Source organism: Homo sapiens, chromosome 4 (assembly GCF_000001405.40).
Source record: "Homo sapiens chromosome 4, GRCh38.p14 Primary Assembly".
Taxonomy (NCBI): Eukaryota; Metazoa; Chordata; class Mammalia; order Primates; family Hominidae; genus Homo; species Homo sapiens.
Window position 1 is genome coordinate 7,083,913 of NC_000004.12, and position 23,192 is coordinate 7,107,104.

The 23,192-nt window shown below is 47.1% G+C and overlaps 2 long non-coding RNA genes across 2 annotated transcripts in view, besides 2 other annotated features; one reads left to right on the plus strand and one right to left on the minus strand.

Annotated features, from left to right (window-relative positions):
* LOC105374370 (uncharacterized) overlaps window positions 1-15,146 on the plus strand; it is a 28,511-nt gene extending 13,365 nt beyond the window's left edge. The window contains exon 3 of the long non-coding RNA XR_925103.3: window positions 14,540-15,146. This is a non-coding gene — a long non-coding RNA (uncharacterized LOC105374370). The remainder of the gene's footprint in view (window positions 1-14,539) is intronic.
* On the minus strand, window positions 13,512-19,464 carry LINC02447 (long intergenic non-protein coding RNA 2447). Its single transcript, NR_027441.1, has 2 exons — window positions 19,356-19,464; window positions 13,512-15,542 (listed from the first exon to the last, which is right to left on the minus strand). It is a non-coding gene; the product is annotated as a long intergenic non-protein coding RNA 2447 (long non-coding RNA).
* Window positions 18,165-18,294: a silencer, noted in NCBI's record as "silent region_15250". NCBI's record gives its function as "represses an Ori minimal core promoter by ATAC-STARR-seq in GM12878 lymphoblastoid cells {active_cell/tissue: GM12878}" and the evidence as "EXISTENCE:reporter gene assay evidence [ECO:0000049][PMID:35858748]".
* Window positions 19,493-19,592: a silencer, noted in NCBI's record as "silent region_15251". NCBI's record gives its function as "represses an Ori minimal core promoter by ATAC-STARR-seq in GM12878 lymphoblastoid cells {active_cell/tissue: GM12878}" and the evidence as "EXISTENCE:reporter gene assay evidence [ECO:0000049][PMID:35858748]".

The following is a 23,192-nucleotide window of genomic DNA, read 5'->3' on the forward strand; positions in this document are numbered from 1 at the left end:
ATGATCATCTTTATTTTTTTTAGAGACTGGGTCTTGCTCTGTCACCCAGGCTGGAGTGCACAGGTGTGACCACAGCTCACTGCAGCCTGAACTCCTTAGCTCAAGTGATCCTCCCATCTCAGCCTCCTGAGTAGCTGGGATTACAGTTTTTTCAGAGTTTTGTGTCTGCTTCTAGGCTGAGTCCCCAGGTCCCAGGTGGAGCTGTACCTCTTGACTAAAGTACCCATGCTTAGCTTGTGTCCCGTTTTGCACGTTAGCAGCAGGAGGGTGCTTCCCGTGCTGCTCCATGGGTCAGCTTCCTGGGAAATCCCACCGGTCATGTCTCTCCCAGTATGGCTGGGACATAGAGAACAAGGGGGTGCACATGCCGCCTGAGTGTGTCATCAGAGGGGATTCTGTCTCCTCTGATGCCACGAATGGCTGCTGTTCCCACACAGGCTGTCTGGGTGGCAGTGCAGATTGGTGTGCCTTTTCTGAAGGGAAACCTGCCAGTGTGCACACAGGACCTTAACAATGTATACTTCCACATCCTGAAGTGTACACTGAGGAAATGCTCAGACAGGACACAAGTACTCTTCAGAGTGCTGCAGGAAGGGGGTCCCGATCCAGACCCCAAGAGAGGGTTCTTGGATCTCGTGCAAGAAAGAATTTAGGGCGAGTCCACGGAGAAAAGTGAAAGCAAGCTTATCAGAGAATTAAAGGAAGAAAAGAATGGCTACCCATAGAGCAGCCCCGAGGGCTGCTGGTTGCCCATTTTTATGGTTATTTCTGATGATATGCTAAACGAGGGGTGGATTGTTCATGCCTCCCCTTTCTAGACCATATAGGGTAACTTCCTGACATTGCCACTGCATTTGTAAACTGTCATGGCGCTGGTGGGAGTGTAGCAGTGAGGACGACCGGAGGTCACTCTCGGCTGGGTTTTGGCCGGCTCCTTTACTGCAACCTGTTTTATCAGCAAGGTCTTTCTGACCTGTATTTTATGCTGACCTCCTATCTCATCCTGTGACTTAGACTAACTAACCATCTGGGAATGCAGCCCAGTAAGTCTCAGCCTCATTTTATCCAGCTCCTATTCAAGGTGGAGTTGCTTTGGTTTACGTGCCTCTGACATTTCTCCCCTCCCTTTTATAAGAGAACCTTTAATCCTAAGGGTTGCAGAGGGATGAAGATCCATCTTCTGTAACTTCTTCAGGCTGAATAGGGATAATGATGTTCCTGCCTAACTCTGAGGTTCTCTTGCATTCAGGGTAGAGAAGAGCTCAGTTGGAAAGCATCAGTATGGTAGGGGGCATTCATAACTCTTGAGTTTTGACAAAAGGTGATATCTGCAAGATTAATAAGTGTTTAAGAAAACATTCAGTAAGCTTGTCCTATATTCCTACACAAAGAGTATAACAGCAATATATTCCATAAGAATAAACCAAAATAAGTAAAGTTATTCCAAGTAAACTAAATTAGAAGGCTTTTCATGAACTGGGCATGTTGGAACTAAGCTGACATGGGGTTGTTAGCTGATTGTAATGTGCCCAGAATTAGAATGCTGATCCAGATTTTTACATTACCCATCCCTCTTGTTTCTTCTGAGCAGCAGACAGAGATCGCTGGTTGGTTTACAGGAATAAGCAGGGTTAGCCTGAATTGCAGAAACAAACTTAAAAGCAACTAATGAGACTAGAATTTAATAAACAAGTGTACCATAGTTCTTGAAACATAATATTTCTCTCTCCAGTTTCTCATTTTTACTAAAAACAAATCATGGTAAGACTGATTTGCTTTATTACACTTGGCCTTTGGCCTGATTATTTGTATAAAGTGCAGCAAGAATAATTATTTTCCACAGAGGCTCTTTTAAAATTGGCTTTGCTGGAGCTCTGTTCCGTAGAAGGAATTTTAGGTAAGGCTTTTTAAAGCTAAGCTCAGCCGTAGTTTTGTACCCTCAAATACCTATGAGTTGAGTTAATTCCTCTCCTCTTGGGGTCCCAAGATAACTTGGGGCTCCTGGACCTGTCAGAAATTGACATTCTTTACTTACCACAGGTCAGAAACCCTATGCAGAGACTATTGCAGACAAGGTCAGACCAATTCTCCAAGGGGCTTTTATTGGCTTTACAAGTTAAGTTTGATTCCTTAAATGAAAGCACACCATGCCAGTTAAAGCCTTGGTAAAATTTCTCCAATTGTGTCCTGTTACAAAAGAAAACAGATTCTCACCCCTAACCCCCCACCCCCTTTTGTTTTTTTGAGATGGAGTCTCACTCTGTTGCCCAGGCTGGAATGCAGTGGCTTGATCTCAGCTCACTGCAACATCTGCCCCCTGGGTTCAAATAATTCTCCTGCCTCAGCCTCCTTAGTAGCTGGAATTACAGGCATGTGCTACCACACCTGGCTAATTTTTATATTTTTAGTAGAGATGGCCTTTTGCCTTTTTGGCCAGGCTGGTTTCGAATTCCTGACCTCAAGTGATCTGCCCACCTTGATCTCTCCAAGTGCTGGGATTACAGAAACGAGCCACTGAGCCCAGCCCAGAAAACAGATTCTTATCTCACTTATGCAAAAAACTATATTGCCATAAATTAAGAGTATTCACAAATAGTTTCCAAAGTTTGGAGAAATCAGGTAGAGAGAAACAAATATGCTCCAAATTTTGTTCACAGGAGTATAGTTTACTTAATTGCTAAAAGCTGTAAATAGCTCAAAAGTTTCCTTCACTCTGAAAAACAAAACAAAGAATCAGCAGCATTTTAAGCAAAGTTAAAAAGATTATTTCAGTTTTCTATTGGTTCAGTTAATTCAGTTAACTCCTGTTCTATTTGATATTCATGAACATTCCAGCTCTTCATGAGAGTTCTCAAAGTTGTTTCCTCTATTCTAAAGTTACAGTTCCAAAGTTATTAGAAACCTGTATTTAAGAACACCTGTTAGAGTTTTATAGTTGACTATAAGCCACCTTCTAAAGAGGATTAAAACAAGACAATGATTATCTGTGGATGATAAAAAGTTTTAGGACAGTCGCTATTAAAGCCACAATTAATAAGGAAATTTGGTTACTTCTGTGGCACAAAAATTTTTACATAACAATTAATAACTACACTAAGTCATATTAGAATTATGAGTTTCCCATAACTTTGGAACATATACCAATTATACCAAATCTTATAGTCTTTCACCAAAAACACATTTTCAACTTTTATTTTTGGCAAAAACCTTGGTAAGTTTGAGATTTTAATTATTTACTAGGTGTGGATCCTGCCTAGGACATACTAGGCAGAAGTGCAGACTTAGAGCTGACTCTCCAGCATAGCTAGGGGGCGTGGCTAACTCCACACGTCCCCAGGGCTTACCTGTCTGTAAAGCAGGCAAGTTGTACAGTAAGAGTCATAGTGGCATTTTATGAAGCATTTAGAAGGCCTGACAACCTTTGAATTGTACAACAACATTTCTTGCATAAATTCCTTTTCACAAATCCTCTCACGACTTAAACAACCTGAGACATTCTTGGACTTTCTGACTTGCCCTAAACATTTCTCCTTTTAAACAACCAGTCATTTTACTTTAGGACAAATTTTTTTTTTTCAAGATGGAGTCTCACTCTGTTGCCCAGGCTGGAGTGCAGTGGTGTAGTCTTGGCTCACTGCAACCTCCACCTCCCAGGTTCAAGCAGTTCTCCTGCCTCAGCCTCCCAAGTAACTGGGATTACAGTCTCGTGCCACCATGCCCCACTAATTTTTGTAATTTTTAGTAGAGATGGGGTTTCACCATGTTGGTCAAGTTGGTCTCGAACTCCTGACCTCAGGGTGATCTGCCCACCTTGGTCTTCCAAAGTGCTGGGATTATAGGCGTGAGATACCGCACCTGGCCTAGGACAAGAATTTACCATACAAGGATGTTTTATTTCCTTTTTTTTTTGAGATGGAGTTTCACTCCTGTTGCCCAGGCTGGAGTGCAGTGGTGCAATCTCGGCTTTCTGCAACCTCCACCTTCTGGGTTCAAGCAATGCTCCTGCCTCAGCTCCCAAGTAGCTGGGATTATAGGCATGTGCCACCATGCCCAGCTGATTTTGTATTTCTAGTAGAGATGGGGTTTCACCATGTTGGTCAGGCTGGTCTCAAACTCCTGACTTTAGGTGAGCCACCTGCCTCGGCCTCCCAAAATGCTGGGGTTACAGGCATGAGCCACCGTGCCTGGCCGAAGATCCTTTCTCGTAGAAAATCTTTCTTTATAATCTTCTTTGTATAGCTAGGAAGCATGGCTAATTCCACGTGTCCCCAGGCCTTATCTAGAACCTAATGGTTTTTTTTTTTTTTGAGATGGAGTCTCACTCTGTCACCCAGGCTGGAGTGCAGTGGCACGATCTCGGCTCACTGCAACCTCCGCCCTCCGAGTTCAAGCAATTCTCCTACCTCAGCCTCCCAAGTAGCAGGGATTACAGGCATCTGCCACTGCACCTGGCTAATTTTTTGTGTTTTTAGTAGAGATGGGGTTTTACCATCTTGGCTAGGCTGGTCTTGAACTCCTGACCTTGTGATCCACCTGCCTCAGCCTCCCAAAGTGCTGGGATTACAGGTGTGAGCCACCACGCCTGACCCTAATGGCTTTAAGGTAGGTAAATTGAACAAGTTTTCAAAGTGAAAGAAGCAGTTTATGACCTTAAAGCATTTAGCAAACTTAATATCTGACCTGCATAATTTAGACTAAATGTTTTTATCAATAATTTTTAAAGCTGTTTTTATTTCCCAAAGATTACTAAAGTTACATGAACTAAAAGGCGTTACAGTTTTTATTTTGCCTTCAAAATATTTAAGTGCTTATTTTTGTTTAAGCCAGTTAATTAGAGTTCTTTTATATAAACATTACACAGAACACATATATAGCTACACAGAAAGAAGAAGATTACTACAGTAGTTGTAAGATTTTTCATTTGCCAGTTTTTAAGTTTCTTAATTGGATTACTGGCTTTTGGGTGGAGCCCTTAGAAGAACAGGGCCAGGAAAGGGGTCTGTGGTGCCTCCTGTTTTTCTCAAGGAGTCCAGGCTGTTAGAGCTTGAATAGCCACTTTTAATGAAACTGATTTTTAACCATAGTACTCATTAATAAAGTCCTTTTAGAATTTCTTATGCCAAACGGCCAATATTTCTGGCCTTTGAACTTTACCAAAGGTAACCTCCCAGGGGCTTAGAGAAAGGAAAATTTAAGACAATCCACGGAGGAGGAGAAAATAGACAAGGACACGCAGATATTAAACCAGAAAGGACTTACTTCCAAGGTGGGGAATTGAATCAGGACCGTGACTGTGAAAGTGCAGAACCTTAGTTACTGAGCTCTAGCATGGGGCAGCCTCTGTTTCCCTTCCCAGAAGGGAATAGTTAATTTTGAACTTGCAAAGGCTTTTTATTTAATAGGATTTTTAGAGCTAACTATGACATGAACCCTAAAATTCCTGTTCCTTGGAAGGCAGAGACCAAAAGTACTGCCATGTGGTTACAAGGTCAAACTCCCAAGGACATAAAACAAGGTGGAGACTTCATCCAGATTTTTGTTTGTTTCAGGGACCTGCAGCCAAGTTTGTTACTGACCCAGCCTGCTGGGTCGTCTTGAAAAGTGGGCTTACCGGTGTTTTAAGGTCATGTTTTATCCTGAAGTACCCCTCAACACAGAAAAATGAATTCATAGCATAAAATACAACAGCTTAAAACTAGCCTTAGAATTCTTTTTCGCATTAATCAAAACTTGACAGAGGAGATAAACAGTTTTTTTTTTTTTCTCTCCCCATTCATTCAACCATTTGCACAGAGAGAGAAGCCAGAAATCTGACTGGTGAGAAATTCTTACCCTTTTGCCAATGTGCCAGGCTTCTGGGTTCCCTTTCCCTAAGCAGCCCTAGTGATCCAGCTTGTGGCACCTCGCCCTGGGGGTCAAGCCACATTATAAAGGACATTATTATTTTTTGTTCTGGCCAGAGCAGAATACATGTGATCAAACACAGACATTAGCCACTCTGCTTAGCACACAGTATGAAACTGGCAAGGCTTAAATTTGCCCCCAGATGGGCCCCGTCATCTTTAATCCAACTTCCAACTTGGAGTTTCAACACGTGGTCTCTGGGCAAGATGGTTGCCCTGAGTAACAGAAAAGATAGAAAAGGAAAAATAGAGAGGGAAAGTATTGCCTGAGGCAGGGTGGAGAAGGTGAAGAGCTTAGGGAGGCCAGAAAAGACCCACTCATTGCAGCCGACAATGAAAAGCTCAGGCGGCCGCTTGTGGGTAGCAAAGGAATCTTTTCCAGCCGTCCCATAGCTCTCAAGTTTCCCCGTTTAGGGAGGAAAAAGCTCCCCATGTCCCATGATCCTGTACACGCCTAACCCTGTCACCCACAGCCATCAGCAAAGAGTGCAAGGCAGATTATTCCGAAGAGAATAGCTTTTAACATCTCATAGTGCCAGAACTGTTCTTAGCTGAAAGGGACTGCACTGAGAGTCTTTAACCCCCTAAATCTTAGAAGGGACTCTAACCCTCCAACCCCCTAAATCTTAGAAGGGACTCTAACCCTCCAACCCCCTAAATCTTAGAAGGGACTCTAACCCTCCAACCCCCTAAATCTTAGAAGGGACTCTAACCCTCCAACCCCCTAAATCTTAGAAGGGACTCTAACCCTCCAACCCCCTAAATCTTAGAAGGGACTCTAACCCTCCAACCCCCTAAATCTTAGAAGGGACTCTAACCCTCCAAGCCCCTAAATCTTAGAAGGGACTCTAACCCTCCAAGCCCCTAAATCTTAGAAGGGACTCTAACCCTCCAAGCCCCTAAATCTTAGAAGGGACTCTAACCCTCCAAGCCCCTAAATCTTAGAAGGGACTCTAACCCTCCAAGCCCCTAAATCTTAGAAGGGACTCTAACCCTCTTAAATTGGGCCTCTAACCCAAGTTTGGTCAAGCATTCTTGCCTTTTATTAAGAGGGCCCTCTAACCCACTCTGTCTTAGGAGAGACTAACTTCCCTAAGTTGGGCCTCTAACCCAATCCCATTGTTTACCCAGGTACCCCACCACTTACCCAAAATCGTCCAATCAGTGCTGCAGTGTATTTCCTTTGGGTCAGGGGTCTCCTCAGTATTGTCCCTTTTGTGGTTTGTGAAAAAGATGTTACTGGACCCCACCACTTACCCAAAGTTAGCTTTTGGGTCAGGGGTTTCCGCAGTATAGTCCCTTCATGGTCACCAGAAAGATGTTACAGGAAAGGGGACCCGATCCAGACCCCAAGAGAGGGTTCTTGGAGCTTGCACAGGAAAGAATTCTGGGCAGTTCCACAGTGCAAAGTGAAAGCAAGTTTATTAGTGAAGGAATAAAAGCATGGCTACTCCATGGACAGAGCAGCTCTGAGGGCTGCTGGCTGCCCATTTTTATGGCTATTTCTTGATGATATGCGAAACAAAGGGGGGATTATTCATGCCTCCCCTTCCTGACGTTGCCATGGCATCTGTAAACTGTCATGGTGCTGGTGGGAGTGTAGCAGTGAGGACAACCAGAGGTCACTTTCATGGCCATTTTGGTTTTGGTGGGCTTTGGCCGGCTCCTTTACTGCAAACTGTTTTATCAGCAAGGTCTTTATGACCTGTATTTTGTGCCAACCTCCTATCTCATCCTGTGTCTTAGAATGCCTTAACCATCTGGGAATGCAGCCCAGTAGGTTTCAGCCTCATTTTACCCAGCGCCTATTCAAGATGGAGTTGCTCTGGTTCACACACCTCTGATAAGAGCATTATCACTTATAGCAAGGACTTGAAACAGCCGGCATCACAGAGCATGCTGGGGCAGGAAGTTAATGACACAGAAAATCTGGTACAGTTTTGTGAAAGTTGTGGGATAAAAGAGTATTCCTACACCATGATTTCAGTGATGTAGAAGAGCCTGGGAGAAAAGACACTGAAAGGTTGCTAGTGGTCACTTGCGGGGATTGGGATCTGGGCTAATTTTATTTTCTTCTTTGCACTTTTCTATTTTGTCCAACTTTTTTTTTTAATAATGGGCATATATTAACTTTTTAAAAAAAGTTTGTCTGACTTTATCTTTAATGAAAAGGTATTTTAAGGTATAATACATTAAATGTATATGTACATTAATATATAATATGTACATTACATACATAAATGTGTACGTTAGTACATAAAAATCTGAAATACATGCACATGGGAAAAAAGAATTGAAACCATATAAAAATACGTCTGGAGGACAGTTTCCCTCCTGTGCCTGTCTCTAAATTTCTTTCCAGGGCAACTGTCACTATCATTTCCTGTGGGTGCCTGTGGAGATATTTTATATAACAGTCATGAATATGTATACAACACCCACGTTTTTTCACAAATGTTGCATTTTATTCAGGCTTTTCTGCTCCTCATTTTCTTTCCCTTTTACTACATGAGAACTTAGCTCTATTTTTTATTTTATTTATTTATTTATTTATTTATTTTTTGTTTTTTTGAGATGGAGTTTCACTCTTATTGCCCAGGCTGGAGTGCAATGGCGTAATCTCGGCTGACTGCAACCTCTGCCTCTTGGGTTCAAGCCATTCTCCTACCTCAGCCTCTTGAGTAGCTGGGATTACAGGCACCTACCACTATGCCCAGCTAATTTTTTTTTGTATTTAGTAGAGACGGGGTTTAACCATGTTGGTCAGGCTGGTTTCAAACTCCTGACCTCAGGTGATCCAACCTGCATCGGCCTCCCAAAGTGCTGGGATTACAGGCGTGAGCCACCGCGCCAGGCCTATTTTTACTTTATTACTATTTTTTTTTGAGATGAAGTCTCGCGATTGTTGCCCAGGCTAGAGTTCAGTGGCGAAATCTTGGCTCACTGCAACCTCGGCCTCCCAGGTTCAAGCGATTCTCCTGCCTCAGCCCCTGAGTAGCTGGGATTACAGGTGCCCACCACCATGCCTGGCTAATTTTGGTATTTTTAGTAGAGACGAGGTTTCACCATGTTGGCCAGGCTGGTCTTGAACTCCTGACCTCAAGTGATCTGCCCGCCTCGGCCTCCCAAAGTGTTGGGATTACAGGTGTGAGCCACCACGCCCGGCCCAACTCTGTTTTTTAAATGTAACTAATACAACCCAAGACTGTTCATATCTACGCACACAGATCTACTCAGGCTTTTCAATGGCTTCATGGTGGTCTGTTATCTCAATGTAATCATAATTTCATCTGACTCCATATGTGGACATTTAAATGTTTCTAATCTTTGGCACAAGTGCTAATGTAGATGTATATACATGTGTAAATCACTAAGGGGATGTCAGATTGTTGTAATCACTTCCAGCAATCCAAAATCCACTTCTAGCAACAAGAAAAGTGACAGGAAGCCTACCTCGTTGGGGGAAGGGGGGAATGGTCTTTTTGATAAATAATTCTGGGTGAACTGGAGATTTGTATGGGAAAGGCTTGTCTTGATCCACCTCCCGCCACACCAAAAAACCCATTCCATACGGACTGCAGAGCTAAGTGTGAAAAGTGAAAACAAATCAAGCTTTTAGAGGAAAATATAGGAGGACGTCTTTGTATCCTTGGAGCAAATAAAGATTTCTTTCTTTTCTTTTCTTTTCTTTCTTTCTTTCTTTCTTTCTTTCTTTCTTTCTTTCTTTCTTTCTTTCTTTCTTTCTTTCCTTCTTTCCTTCTTTCCTTCTTTCCTTCTTTCCTTTCCTTCTTTCTTTCTTTTCTTTTCTTTTTTTGGGATGGAGTCTCATTCTGTCACCAGGCTGGAGTGTAACGGCATGGTCTTGGCTTACGGCAACCTCCATGCTCACAGGTTCAAGCGATTCTCTGGTCTCAGCCTCTCAAGTGGCTGGGATTACAGGCGCCCGCCACCACACCCAGCTAATTTTTTGTATTTTTATTAAGAGACGGGGTTTCACCGTGTTGGCCAGGCTGGTCTCAAACTCCTAACCTGCACTAACTCCTAACTCCCTAAACAGAAGTGCACTAACCTAACTCTGCCCGCCTTGGCCTCCCAAAGTGGTGGGATTACAGGTGTGAGCCATCACACCCGGCCTAAAGATTTCTTAAAACAGTGCTCAAAAGTGCTAACTGAGAAATTGATAAATTGAACTGTATTGAAAACAAGAAATTCTGTTCATCAACAGACACTGTCAAGAGAGTGGGAAGGATAGTTGCAATATATGTGTATATCCCCAACAGGACTTGTATTCAGCCAATACAGAGAACTAGAGCTTATGAAGGATAAGACAGACAACCCCATGGACAGATGGGGATACTTCACAGAAGAGGGTTGCTAAATTGTCAACCATCATGGAAGAAGTGTTCAGTTGCACTGATCATTAGGAAGATGCAAAGTAAAACCGCAACATGAAATCACTACATCCTCACCCGGCCCACGCCTGAAATGAAAAAGACAGCAAATATCAAAAGCTGGGGAGGATGTTTGTTGTAGTTTTGAGCTGTTAGGTTTTGGGGTAATATGTTATGTGGCAATAGCTAGCTAATGCATCTGAGTCATTTGGAGAGGGTTTTAGGAGTCATTGAGAAGATGAAATGGATACATTTTGGGACTCATTTTTAAGTAGCTTGGTCCTTTCTATCAAGATGCAATGAAAAATGAAAGCAATTATCTAGGTAATTTGACCAACGTAATATTAATTCCATTTGGAGTTTTCCAGTCAAAGTTTATGATGTGTCTTTTATTTTAATTGAATTTCTTTGTAATGGTCCTGATTCCCATTTCACTTGGCTGAGGCCAACTCGGCCTTGATCTCCAAATTTCCTTCCAGCGCTGGAAACCTCTTTGGCAATTGGGGGTAATCACCCCTCTGATGTTGCTGCATCCAACTGTAAGAGACGAAAGACATTTTTTCTGAGAAAAAGCTTGCACGCAAGAGAATGCAGCACTCACTAGCATGTCATAAAGACTCGGGCCTGACCTTTAAAACCGATTACCACGATATCCACACCAAGCTAAACAAAACAACGATTAGGGGGACAGAGCTGAGCAGGCTTTGGAAACCCCACACCAAGTGGTTTCACTTTGCCCTTTCTGTAAGACTGTTCCCTCTTAAAACACAGCATAATGTCCGAGGGGGCTTCCATCTGGAAAAATCGCCCTGGCCTTAAACCTCGTCAATGTAACGACACAGTCATCTTTCAAAGGAAAATTCCAAAGGCAAGGGCAGGCGCTCGCCCTTGAGTTTGGCTTCCTTTTACAGAATCTCTTTCTTGGCAGCAGCCACATGGCCGCAAGCTGTTTAGAAGTACAAGCCCTGGCTGGGGCGGTGGCTCACGCTTGTAATCCCGGCACTTTGGGAGGCTGAGGCAGGTGGATCACCTGATGTCAGGAGTTCAAGACCAGCCTGGCCAACATGGTGAAACCTTGTCTCTACTAAAAACACAACAAAAAAAATGAGCCAGGCATGGTGGCGGGCACCTGTAATCCCAGCTACTCAGGAGGCTGAGGCAGGAGAATTGCTTGAACCTGGGAGGCGGAGGTTGCAGTGAGCTGAGATCGTGCCATTGTGCTCCAGCCTGGACGACAAGAGCGAAACTCTGTCTCAAAAAAAAAAAAAAAAAAAAGTAAAAGTGCAAGTCCATCCCCACCCATGATGACAGTGAGTCCCAGGCACACGGAGGGGCAGTCCTCGTGCAGCTGGCAGGCTCTCAGAGGAGTTTTCTAGCCTCTGACGGTGTGTAGTCTCGGGGCGGGAAGGGGAGTGCCATGATGCCGGCTGTGGCCATGGCCACCCCTTTGTCCCCACATCGTCTAAGGATTTTCACCCCCACTTGCAAACACGGGAGATGCTCCTGGAGGTGGGACAGTGCCCGGTGTGCTGGGGAGGACCATTGGGGCTCGCTGCTGCTTCAGGGAGGGCACATCGTCTTCACAGCTAATTCCCACTGGGGTTTATTTGTTGCCCCTGTTTGTGTCTGTGGGGCTGGGGCTCAGCTCCACGTGGTCACCCAGGACCCAGTAGACAGGGTGGCCATTGCAGCAGGTGCCTGTGAGGAGAGGACACTCCCACAGAAGGAGCACATGTCGCCGGCACTCACGGCCCACTGGCCAGAGCTGGCCACGGCCCCCTTGCTGCTGGGGGAGCCCGATGGCTGTCTCAGCCACAGCCAGCCATGGTGGTGGCCTTGCCACCCGGCGGCATCCCCGGTGCTAGACACTAAGCTCCCAGAGGGCAGAGAACACAATGCTTTTGCTCCTCCTGCCTCCATGGTTTGGCCCTCATCTTCATTCCCACGAGGAGCCCTTTCTTCTGTGTGCACGCATGTGTCTCTGTGTATGTGTGTGTCTGCATGTGTGTGTGCATGTGTGTGCATGCGTTGGCACTGGGAGCCTCAATCGTGGTGTTATTTTTCAGATATAACCGACATCTGATTTCCCTCTGTGATTTTTTGGCTGCTTGTTTTTAGCCCCAGGATTATTTTCTCAATAGCACTCTAGCAGAGCTTTTATCCCAGCTGAATACAGTCTGCACGCAGGAAGTGTGAGCTGGTTCTGATATCGGTGGAATAGCTGGATTGTAAACCTGCGGCATGGGAGTCCTCAGGAGCTGCCTCATTTAGAAGCATCTGGGCTGCCATCCTTTTGAGCTTGTGCCTCCTTAACTGAGAAATGACAGAGCTGAGCAAAGCCGGGAAAGACGCAGGAAGGAGGCCTGGCAGCCCTGAATCAGTTTCTCCAAGAAACAGGCCTGAGGTTTGAAGAGATTCAGGTTAGAAATCAATGAGGAGATTTTTTGGTCTCCGCTAATTTTTTAGATAATCAGGTGAGATCCAAGTGTACCATGCTAAAGATTTTTGAACGTTAAAATTGCTTTTTCATTTTTGATGGGCCATTCTACTCCTGGGCATCTACCCAAAGGAGCTCAAAGTAGGGACTTGAGCAGACACGTCTTTGCCAATGTTCACAGCAGCACGGTTCACACTGGCCAAGAGGTGGAAACAACCCAGATGGCCAGCAGTGATGAATGGACACACAAAACGTGGTCTAAACATACAATGGAATATTATTCAGCCTTAAAAAAGAATGAAATTCTGACACGTTCTGCAATGTGGATGAGCCTTGAGGAGATTACGCTCAGTGAAATAAGCCCGACACAAAAGGACAGCTATTGTGTGGTTCTGCTGGTCTGAAATGTCCAGACTATGCAGGTCTTACACAGAGACAGAAAGTAGAATGGTGGGTGTCGGGGCTGGGGGAGGGCAGCTGGGAGCTAGTGTTTGATGGGGACAGAGTTTCTGTTTGGGAAGACAAGAATGTTCTGGAGGTGGATAATGGTGATGGTTGCACACCACTGTGAGTGTGCTTAATGCCTCTGAACTGTACACCTAAAAGTGGCTAAGATGGCAAATTTTATGTTATATATAGTTTGCCACAATTAAAAAAATTAATAATGTAAAAAACATACCTGGGATGGGTTTGCAAAAGTTCTGCCAGAAACAGGAATGGATGTGTTTAGGAGAATCTGGGCAGAGAACCAGGAATGAAAGCCAATTAAACCTCTTTGAGAACTCTTACTTAGGCAATTTTAATTTCTTCTAAGTAGTAAAATAGGTAAGACCAACAAATTAAATACTTCTTGCAAAAACAAAATTGACAAAATGTATGGCTCATTTACATTGTAAATCTACAATTAAGATGGGAAATAAACCAATTCTGGACACCTGAACCGGTGAGACGAGTTGAATTGTGTCCTCCAAAATTCATGTGTTGAAATTCAAACTCCCAGCATCCCAGAATGTGACCTGATTTGGAGATGGGGCCTTGGCTGAGACAGTCAACTTAAAATGAAATCATTAGGGTGGGCCTTAATCCAGTAGGACTGGTGTCCTTATAAAGAGGGGAAATTTGGAGACACACACACACAGGGAGAGCGCCGCATGAAGATGAAGGCAGAAACTGGGGAGATGCTTTCACAAGCCAAAGACTGCCCAGGCTTGTGAGCAAAAACAACCTCCAGAAGCTGGAAGAGAGCCTTGCACAGATTTCCTCCCAGAGCCCCTAGAAGGAACCCACCCTGCCAACACCTTGATTTGGAACTTGCAGCCTCCAAAACTGTGAGATGATAAATTTCTGTTGTTTAAGCCACCCAGTTGGTGGTACTTTGTTACAGCAGCCTTAGAAACTAATGCAAGTAAATAAAACACCAGAAAGATTTTCCTTTTCCCTGTATTGTGTTCGGATTTCCCTCTGCTCATGAAGACACCCCTCATATTGGCTTAGGGCCCACCGTAATCTCCAGTGTGATCTCATCTTAACTAATGACATCTGCACAGCCCCGTTCCCAAATAAGGTCAGAAGGACAGGTAGTGAGGGTTTGGACTTGAACGTCGTTTTTGAGGGTCCTAGTCAACCCATAACAGTCCACACTCTGGTTCCTCCAAGTTCATGTCCTTCCCGCAGGCAAAACGCCTTCATCCCATCCTAACATGCTCCGAAGGCTTAAGTATTCTAGGGTCAACTTGGAGTCCAAAATATCATCTAACTACCATTATTAACTCAAAGTTCCAAATCTCTGTTCTCCTCTGTTGTTTCAGGCCTTGCACAGAGGAGTGCTTGGTGAACATTTGGTGGAGGATACGGAAACCCACGTGGATTCCAGGTGCTGACTTTTGTGCCACTACAGAGTCTAGCGTACATTAGGAAGACGATGCCAACCACCACCATCTATTGACTTACTCAACGTTTACTGCACACCTACTGTGTGCAGGGGTCCTGGGGACCCCATAGATGAAAACATAAGCACATGATCAAATGGAAAGCTGGGCTTCGTCTATTACAGTGGGTACCATACAGTTTTACACTCGTGTACCTAAAACAACCTGGACAAGGCACGGGATTGATTTTCAATTTTGTAAAACAGAGCAAAAGTGCTTTTACTGATGTTTCTTTTCTTTTTCCTGAGATCTTATGTCCCTAGACAGAACTATAAAGCGTTTTTATATTAAAGGTCTGTGCCTCAGACTTTAAAAATATCTGTAGAATGTGTAGTAAAGTTATCCATTTCATTTGTGATAATGGTCATTTTTATTTTCTCTTTTGTTCCTGATCAATCTAACTATAATTTATAAATTTAACAATTTTCTCAAGAACGTTCTGTTTCATTGATGTTCTCTATTATTTTCTGTTCTCTGTTTCATTGATTTCAACTCTGATTTTTATTATTTCTTTTCTTCTTTTTATTTTAGGTTTCATTTGGTCTTTTCTAGTTAAGGTGGAAGCTGAGGTCAATAATTTTCCTTTCTTCTTTTCCTTAAAAAATTGTTGGCCAGGTGCGGTGGCTTATGCCTGTAATCCCAGCACTTTGGGAGGCTGAGGCAGTCTGATCACCTGAGGTCAGGAGTTTGAGACCAGCCTGGCCACATAGTGAAACCCCGTTTCTACTAAAAATACAAAATTAGCCAGGCGTGGTGGCGGGTGCCTGTAACACCAGCTACTCGGGAGGCTGAGGTGGAAGAATCACTTGAACCTGGGAGATGGAGGTTGCAGTGAGCCAAGACTGTGCCATTGCACTCCAGCCTGGGCAACAAGAACGAAAACCTGTCAAAAAAAAAAGAAAAAAAATTGTTTTAGGCTGGGCGTGGTGGCTCACACCTGTAATCCCAGTGCTTTGGGAGGCTGAGGCAGGCAGATCACTTGAGGTCAGGAGTTCGAGACCAGCCCGGCTAACATGGTGAAACCCCATCTCTACTAAAAATACAAAAATTAGCTGGGCATGGTGGCATGTGCCTGTAATTCCAGCTACTCAGGAGGCTGAGGCAGGAGAATCGCTTGAACCCGGGAGGTGGAGTTTGCAGTGAGCTGAGATTGCACCACTGCACTCCAGCCTGGGTGACAGAATGAGACTGTCTTAAAAAAAAATTGTTTTAAAAACAGCTTTATTGAGATATACTTCACATACAGTTCATCCTTTTAAAGTATGCGAGTCAGTGGGTAGTATATTCTTAGACAAGTTCAACCACCACTAAAATTAATTTTAGAACATTTTCTTCACCCCAAAAAGAAACCTATATTCATGACTTCAAATTTCTCCTTCCCCAGCTCCTGGCAACCAATAGTCGACTTTCTGTGTCTATAGATGTCCCTGTTGCAGACATTTCCTATAAGTGGAATCATATATGATCTTTTGTGTATAGCTTCCTTCACTGAACATAATGTTTTCAAGGTTCATTCCTGCTGTGTTAGGGCCTCCTTGCTTTTATGGCCAAATAAAATAATACTCCATTGTATGGGTAGGCCACGCTGTGTTTATCCATTCACCATTGGATGGACATCTGGTTTGTTTCTGCCTTTTGGCTATTATGAATAATGCTGCTATGAACATTTACATGTACATTTTATGTGGATGTATGTTTCCTTTTTTGTTTTTTTTCTTTTTTTTTGAGATGGAGTCTTGCTCTTTCACCTAGGCTAGAGTGCAGTGGCGTGATCTCAGCTCACCGCAACCTCCACCTCCGGGGTTCAAATGATTCTCCTGCCTCAGCCTCCTGAGTAGCTGGGATTACAGGTGCCTGGCACCACGCCTGGCTAATTTTTGTATTTTTAGTAGAGACAGGGTTTCACCACATTGGCCAGGCTGGTCTCGAACTCCTGACCTCATGATCCGCCCGCCTTGGCCTCCCAGATTGCTGGGATTACAGGTGTGAGCCGCTGCGCCCGGCCTGTTTTCACGTCTCTTGGGTGTGTACCTAGAGAGGGAATTGTGGGGTTCTATAGTAGCTCTGTGTTTCACCCGTGAAGAACTGCCACACTGTTTTCCAGAGCAGGTACAGCATTTTACCTTCCCACCAACGGTGTTATCAGGGTTCTTATTTTTGCACGCCTTCACCCACACTTATCTGCCTCTTTTTCCCGCTGACTTTTTGATTCTAGCCATTCAGTGCATGTGAAATGACATCTCGTTGTGGTCTTGATTTGCATTTCCCTGGCAACTAATAATGTCTAGCGTGTCTTCACGTGCTTGGACCATCTGTATATTTTCTTTGGAAGAATGTGTGTTTAGATCCTTTGCCCATTTTTAAATTGGGTTGTCTTTTTATTATCGAGTTACCTGAGTTCTTTACATATTCTGGATACAAAGCCCTTCTTAGAAATATGATTTGAAAATATTCTCTCCCATCCTGTTGGTTATCTTTTTACTTACTTACTTTTTTTTTTTTTGAGACAGGGTCTCACTCTTTTGCCTAGGCTGGAGTGCAGTGGTGCAATCTTGGCTTACTGCAACCTCTACCTCCCAGGTTCAAGCAATCCTTCCACCCCAGCCTCCTGAGTAGCTGGGACTACAGGCATGCACCATCACACCTGGCTAATTTTTATATTTTTTTTGTAGAGGCAGGGTTTTGCCATGTTGGCCAGGCTGATCTCGAACTCCTGGCCTCAAGTGATCGAACCGCTTTGGCCTCCCCAAGTGCTGGGATTACAGGCGTGAGCCACTGCACCCAGCCTATTTTCTTGATAGTGTCCTTTAGAGCACAACTGTTTTGAATTTGCTGAAATCCAATTTATTTATTCTTCCTTTTGTTGCTCATGCTTTGGTGTCAAGGCTAAGAAGCTGTTGCCTCCATGAGGTCCTGGAGACACGGCCCTCTGCTTCTTCTAAGAGCTTGATCATTCTAGTGCTTGCCTTTAGTTCTTTGTTTTTGAGGGAACAGAGGCCATTTAGCTTGGAGAAGGAGGGAGGGGTATGGTAGCTACTGGCAGACTCAGAGGGGCTGTCCTGGCATAGTGTCCAGAGGGCACTGGGACCCTGAGGACAGCTGGAGCCAGTGTGTGTGTGGGTGGGTGGGTGGGTGGGGGGGGGGGGCGGTGGTCAGCTCTAAGAATCTGGGGATGAAACACGCTGGGCAGGGAGGGGTCCTTTGGAGCTCTCGCCTCTCAGAAGCAGGACCCAAACCAACTCCCCAGCTCCCCCAGCATTCCCCCTCCAGCTTGAGGCAGGGCTGGTGTGGGGTGGGAGTGGGGAAGGAGCCCTGGTGAGTCAGATGGAGAACAAAGGGCCCACCTTGGTGGGAGGAGGGAGAGAGGAGGCCGAGGAGGGTGAACTATGCAGACAGGTGGCCTGCGAGGGGTGCTGTGCTGCCCTCGGGCTCTGGGCGAGGCCTCTATCCCACCGCAGGAAAACCCTCCTTGCAGGGAGCTCATCTTCCGCCTTTCAAAACTTCAGGGCGCTCCTCAGGCATCGCACAGGGTAACGGCTTGGACCAGCAGCAGCACTGGCTGTTCACAAGCATCTTGTGGTTTTTCAGAGCCCTGTCCTGCCGCTTGGGGCAGCACTTCCTCCCGCCGGGCCCTCTCCCTTCCTCTCTCCAGACGCCTAGTCCTCACATGGGCACCTTCCCTTTCCTCACCCTCCAGGGTCGCCCAAATCCCATAGCCCTTATCACGTGCTGTGGATGCCAACACGCAGCCAAGCCACTGTTTCTGGGGAGCAACCAGGGGATCGGGCAGCCCAGGTAAAGGCTGCGGTCCCAGAGCTGTGGGAAGGGAGGGGACAGGACAAGAAGGAAAGGAAGGAAAAGCGTGCGGAACCTGCAGTGCAATTGTTGGGGGAAGCCGGTGAGAAGTCAGGCTTGGTGAGGGCAGATACCTGTTTCTGCCTCCACAGGACGCTGCTCTCAGAAGGCAAAGAGCTCTTGGGCTGGGCATAGTGGCTTACGCCGGTAACCCCACCACTTTGGGAAGCCAAGGCAGGTGGATTACTTGAGGTCAAGAGCTCGAGACCAGCCTGGCCAACATGGTGAAACCTCTTCTCTACTAAAAATACAAAAATTAGCCGGGTGTGGTGGCACATGCCTGTAATCCCAGCCACTTGGGAAGCTGAGGCACGAGAATCGCTGAAACCCGGGAGGTGGAGGTTGCAGTGAGCTGAGATTGCACCACCGCACTCCAGCCTGGGCGACAGTGAGACTCCGTCTCAAAAACAAAAACAAAAATTAAAAATAAAAAGGCGAAGAGCTCTTGGTGGATGGAAGGACAGCTTCCAGTATTACCCAGGTCTCAGGTAAGCACTCTCTTGACTCTCTGGGACTCAGTTTCCCTGTCTCCTGCTGTGAGGTGACAGTTGCTGTGGTTGATCCATCCAACCTCACCCTGAGCAATTTTAGGGGCTGGGCCCTGAGCCCTGTCCAGGGCCGCAGAGGCAGGGGCGCTGTGATCCAGGGGCGTCTCTGCAGCGGCGGCGAGACGGTCGTGACAGTCCAACCTGTCAATCTCCCAGATGGGGGCAGTGAGGCCCAGAGAGAGGAGAGGACTAAACCGTCAGCGGGACTGTGAGTTCCCGGAGGCAGGGCTGAGTCTTTTATTTTTCTTTTCATGTCTGTATCCCCAGCACCCAGCAAATGGCGGGGCACTTACGAGGTCTTCGGAAGCTGCCTGGCTGCCTCGGGTGCAGTGTTTTGTGATAGAATCAAGAGTTGGAACCTGGACCTCTGCTTCTTGGCCCGCTTTCCACTGCGCCGGGCTCCGAGTTAATGGCGGAGAGGGCAGGGAGGTCCTGGGCCCCGCCCACCAGGCTTCCAATCACCAGTGCCCCGGCCCCGCCCTGCCCCGCCCTTGCCCCGAACCCCGCCCTTCCTTGGCTCCGCCCCTTCCCCGCCCTCGTCGCGGAGCCAGGTTCTACCCCGGGACATCTCGCTGGACTCAGCCTCCCACAGGATTCAGGAGTGCGGGGATGCTCTTTGTGCTGAGAACTCGCTGGTCAGGCTGGTCAGGCTGGTCAGGCTGCTTGGCCTCTTACTCCATCTGTAGAGTGGGCTCAGGCCTGATGGTGATCGTGTCTTGTTTTGTCACGCTGGGATTCGTGTCTCTGGTGACATTTTCCTGCTGTGTGTAGCACTTGGCCACGCAGATGACTGGACAGCTGCCAGGAGCACTGGCCGTGTGCACCAAACTCAGCTTGAGGAAGTCCTCGGGAGCAAAGTGCAAGTGGAAAACGCTGTGAGGGAAAAGCTGTGGGCGGGGAGTCAGGGGCCCAGGGCACGGGTCCAGTCCTGTCCCTGACTGGCTAGTCCACAAAAGCCTGTCCCCCGGCGTCAGTTTTCTGTGCCTGGATTACATGGCAGTTGAGTCCTAAACACTGAGGGACAGACGCTGCCTCTAGTTCCCGCATCTGGCTCAGTCCTTACAGAGGAGCTGTCTGGAGGACTGGCGGGGCTCTCGGCTTCTGTTCTCCCAAGCTCCTCCACCCTGCCTGTGGGCTCTGCCAGGAGCAAGCGCCTGACGACCCTCTCCTGATGTTCGCTTCCACTGGGGAGGTCCCCCTCCTCCTACTCAGAGGCAGAGTTTGTAGATGAGGTGGGTCGACAGGGGCCTACCATCTTCCCTCTGCCCCACGATGACAGACACCTGCCCAGGCTGTGGAGGCCCATGGTCAGTTTGTCCAGCGCTGGAGCTCATGTTAGGCATCTCACTGGCCTGCAGACAGAAGCCATGTTCTCCAAAATCCCTTTCCTTAGCAATAAGGGGGTATCTTGGTTTCCCATTTGCCAAGTCCTGTGTGTGGTTTCTCCCCTGAGTTGGAACACAGCAGAGGTGCTGTTGGCTGGCCACTCCATGCGTCCGGTCAGGTGGTTCCTCTCACCATCCTGGGTGGCTCCCTGCTGCCAATAGGATGAAGCTCACATCTCTAGGATAGCTGGCCCCATGCACCCCTGCCTGCACCCCAGCCTCAACCTTCTGCCTGCACCCCAGCCCTCAGCCACATTGAGCTCCTGCAGACCCTCTGCTTTGCTGCACTGGCCTTTGAAGATTCTGCTGACTTACCTGGAATGTTCTTTCCTCCCCTCCTGAACACCCCAACCGAAGCTCATTGCCTAGCTAATAGCTATCGTTTGACTCAGGTCCCAACCTGGTTGTCACCTCCCCCAGGAAGGATTCCTGGATTGCCCAAGCTAATTTAGGCATCGCCTCTGCCTTTCTCCATCGGGGTCCTGGCCACAGTGGGAGGTCTTTGCTTCTTGGGCTGAGGACAAGGGCCTGTCAGGGCTGTTGGGCAGAACTGTGACCCAGAGCTAGCAGGTGCCCCGGGAGGTCTGAGGGAACTGTTTTTCTCCTTTCCTCCCCTGTCACTGCCCCTGCCTGCCCCTCCCTTCCTTGTTGTCTTCATTCACCTCCTATACTCTTTTTTTTTGAGACAAGGTCTTACTCTGTCTCCCAGGCTGGAGCACAGTGGCGCAGTCTTGGCTCACTGCAACCTCTGCCTCCCGGGTTCAAGTGATTCTCCTGCCTCAGCCTCCCGAGTAGCTGGGATTACAGGCACATACCGCCAGGCCCCGCTAATTTTTGTATTTTTAGTAGAGATGGGGTTTCACCATATTGGCCAGGCTAGTATCCAACTCCTGACCTCAAATGATCTGCCTGCCTCGGCCTCCCAAAGTGTTGGGATTACAGGCATGAGCCACCGCGCCCGGCCACCCTCCTATACTCTTGATTCCCGACACACTGGGGTTAGTGACCGAGCTGCAGAGGGGCCTCCTTCAAGCCCCTGATCCCCTCGGATTCCAGCCTTCTCTCTGGGCCCTCCTTGCCTTGACTTCCTCCACGCCAGCCTTGAATTATGGGACCCGTCGGGCCCATTTGCCAGGTGTCTGGCCCCGTCTGGAAGCAAGTGGTTTGCTTCGAGGTGATGAACGTGGCTTGCTGGACTTGGCCCTGAGCCAGCACACGTTGTTCGGCTATGAGCCACCATGAGCCTTCCCCTGACTCTGCAAAAGAGTTCAGCCAAGAAAGAGGACTGAAATACATTCTCCCCGTTTTGTCTTTGTTTTGGGAAATATCTTGCACATGCTATTTATGTTTTTGAAAAAAATCAATGCAACAAATTGTGTGCAATATGCTCCTTAGCTAGAGGAGGTGGAATTATTCTTGCCCTGTTTTTTTAGTCCCACTGTCAAAGAAGACACCCTGTGGTAGCTACATCCCCCCTGACAGTGGCTGGTGGCCTTGGGAGATTTGTCTTCAGAAAGCCCAGGCGGAGCGGGAGTTTTGACTTTTTGTTTTGTTTTGTTTTGTTTTTGAGATAGAGTCTCACCTTGTTGCCCAGGCTGGAGTACAGTGGCACGATCTTGGCTCACTGAAACCTCCACCTCCCGGGTTCAAGCGATTCTCCTTGAGTAGCTGGGACTACAGGTGCCCGCCACCACACCCGGTTAATTTTTTTATTTTTTAGTAGAGACAGGGTTTCATGATGTTGGCCAAGCTGGTCTGGAACTCCTGACCTCAGGTGATCCACCCGCCTCGGCCTCCCAAAGTGCTGGGATTACAGGCCTGAGCCACCGCGCCTGGCCAAGTTTTGACTGTTTTGTGCCACTGGGCAAACACATTTGCACTCATTGGCCCATGAGTGTTTTGAGGAAAATATGTGAATATGTGTGCCCCAAATTACCCACTCTCTGGGGCTCTGCATTCAGCCTGGGCTGGTGGGGAACCCTGCCATCTCTGAGGCTGGTGGAGCAGCCATGGGGCGGGGTGAGGTAGAAATCCCCCTTCTTGGCCGGGCGAGGTGGCTCACCCCTATAATCTCAGCACTTTGGCAGGCCAAGGTGGGCAGATTGCTTCTGTCCAGGGGTTCCAGACCAGCCTGGGCAACATGGTGAAACCCCATCTCTACTAAAAATATAGAAGTTACCTGGATGTGATGGCACCTGCCTATAGTCCCAACTACTCAGTAGGCTGAGGCTGAGATGGGAGAATCAGCTGAGCCCTGGAGGTCAAGGCTGCAGTGAGCCAAGATTGCATCACTGCACTCCAGCCTGGGCAACAGAGTGAGTTCCCTGTCTCAAAAAAGAAGAAGAAAAAAAAAACCCGTTGTTGGCTGGGCACGGTGGCCCACTCCTGTAATCCCAGCACTTTGGGAGGTCAAGGCAGGTTGATCACTTGAGGTCAGGAGTTCGAGACCAGCCTGACCAACATGGTGAAATCCCGTCTCTACTAAAAAATACAAAATTAGCTGGGTGTGGTGGCACATGCCTGTAATCCCAGCTACTTAGGAGGCTGAGGGAGGAGAAATGCTTGAACCTGGGAGGCAGAGGTTGCAGTGAGCTGAGATTGCACATTGCACTCCAGCCTGGGCAACAAGAGCGAAACACCATCTCAAAAAACAAATCCCCCTTCACACACTCCCCCATCCCTGGGCTTGGCACTAGCAGCTGGGGACCTTGCGTTGTGACTCGGACAAGGCCCCTCACTCTGGGC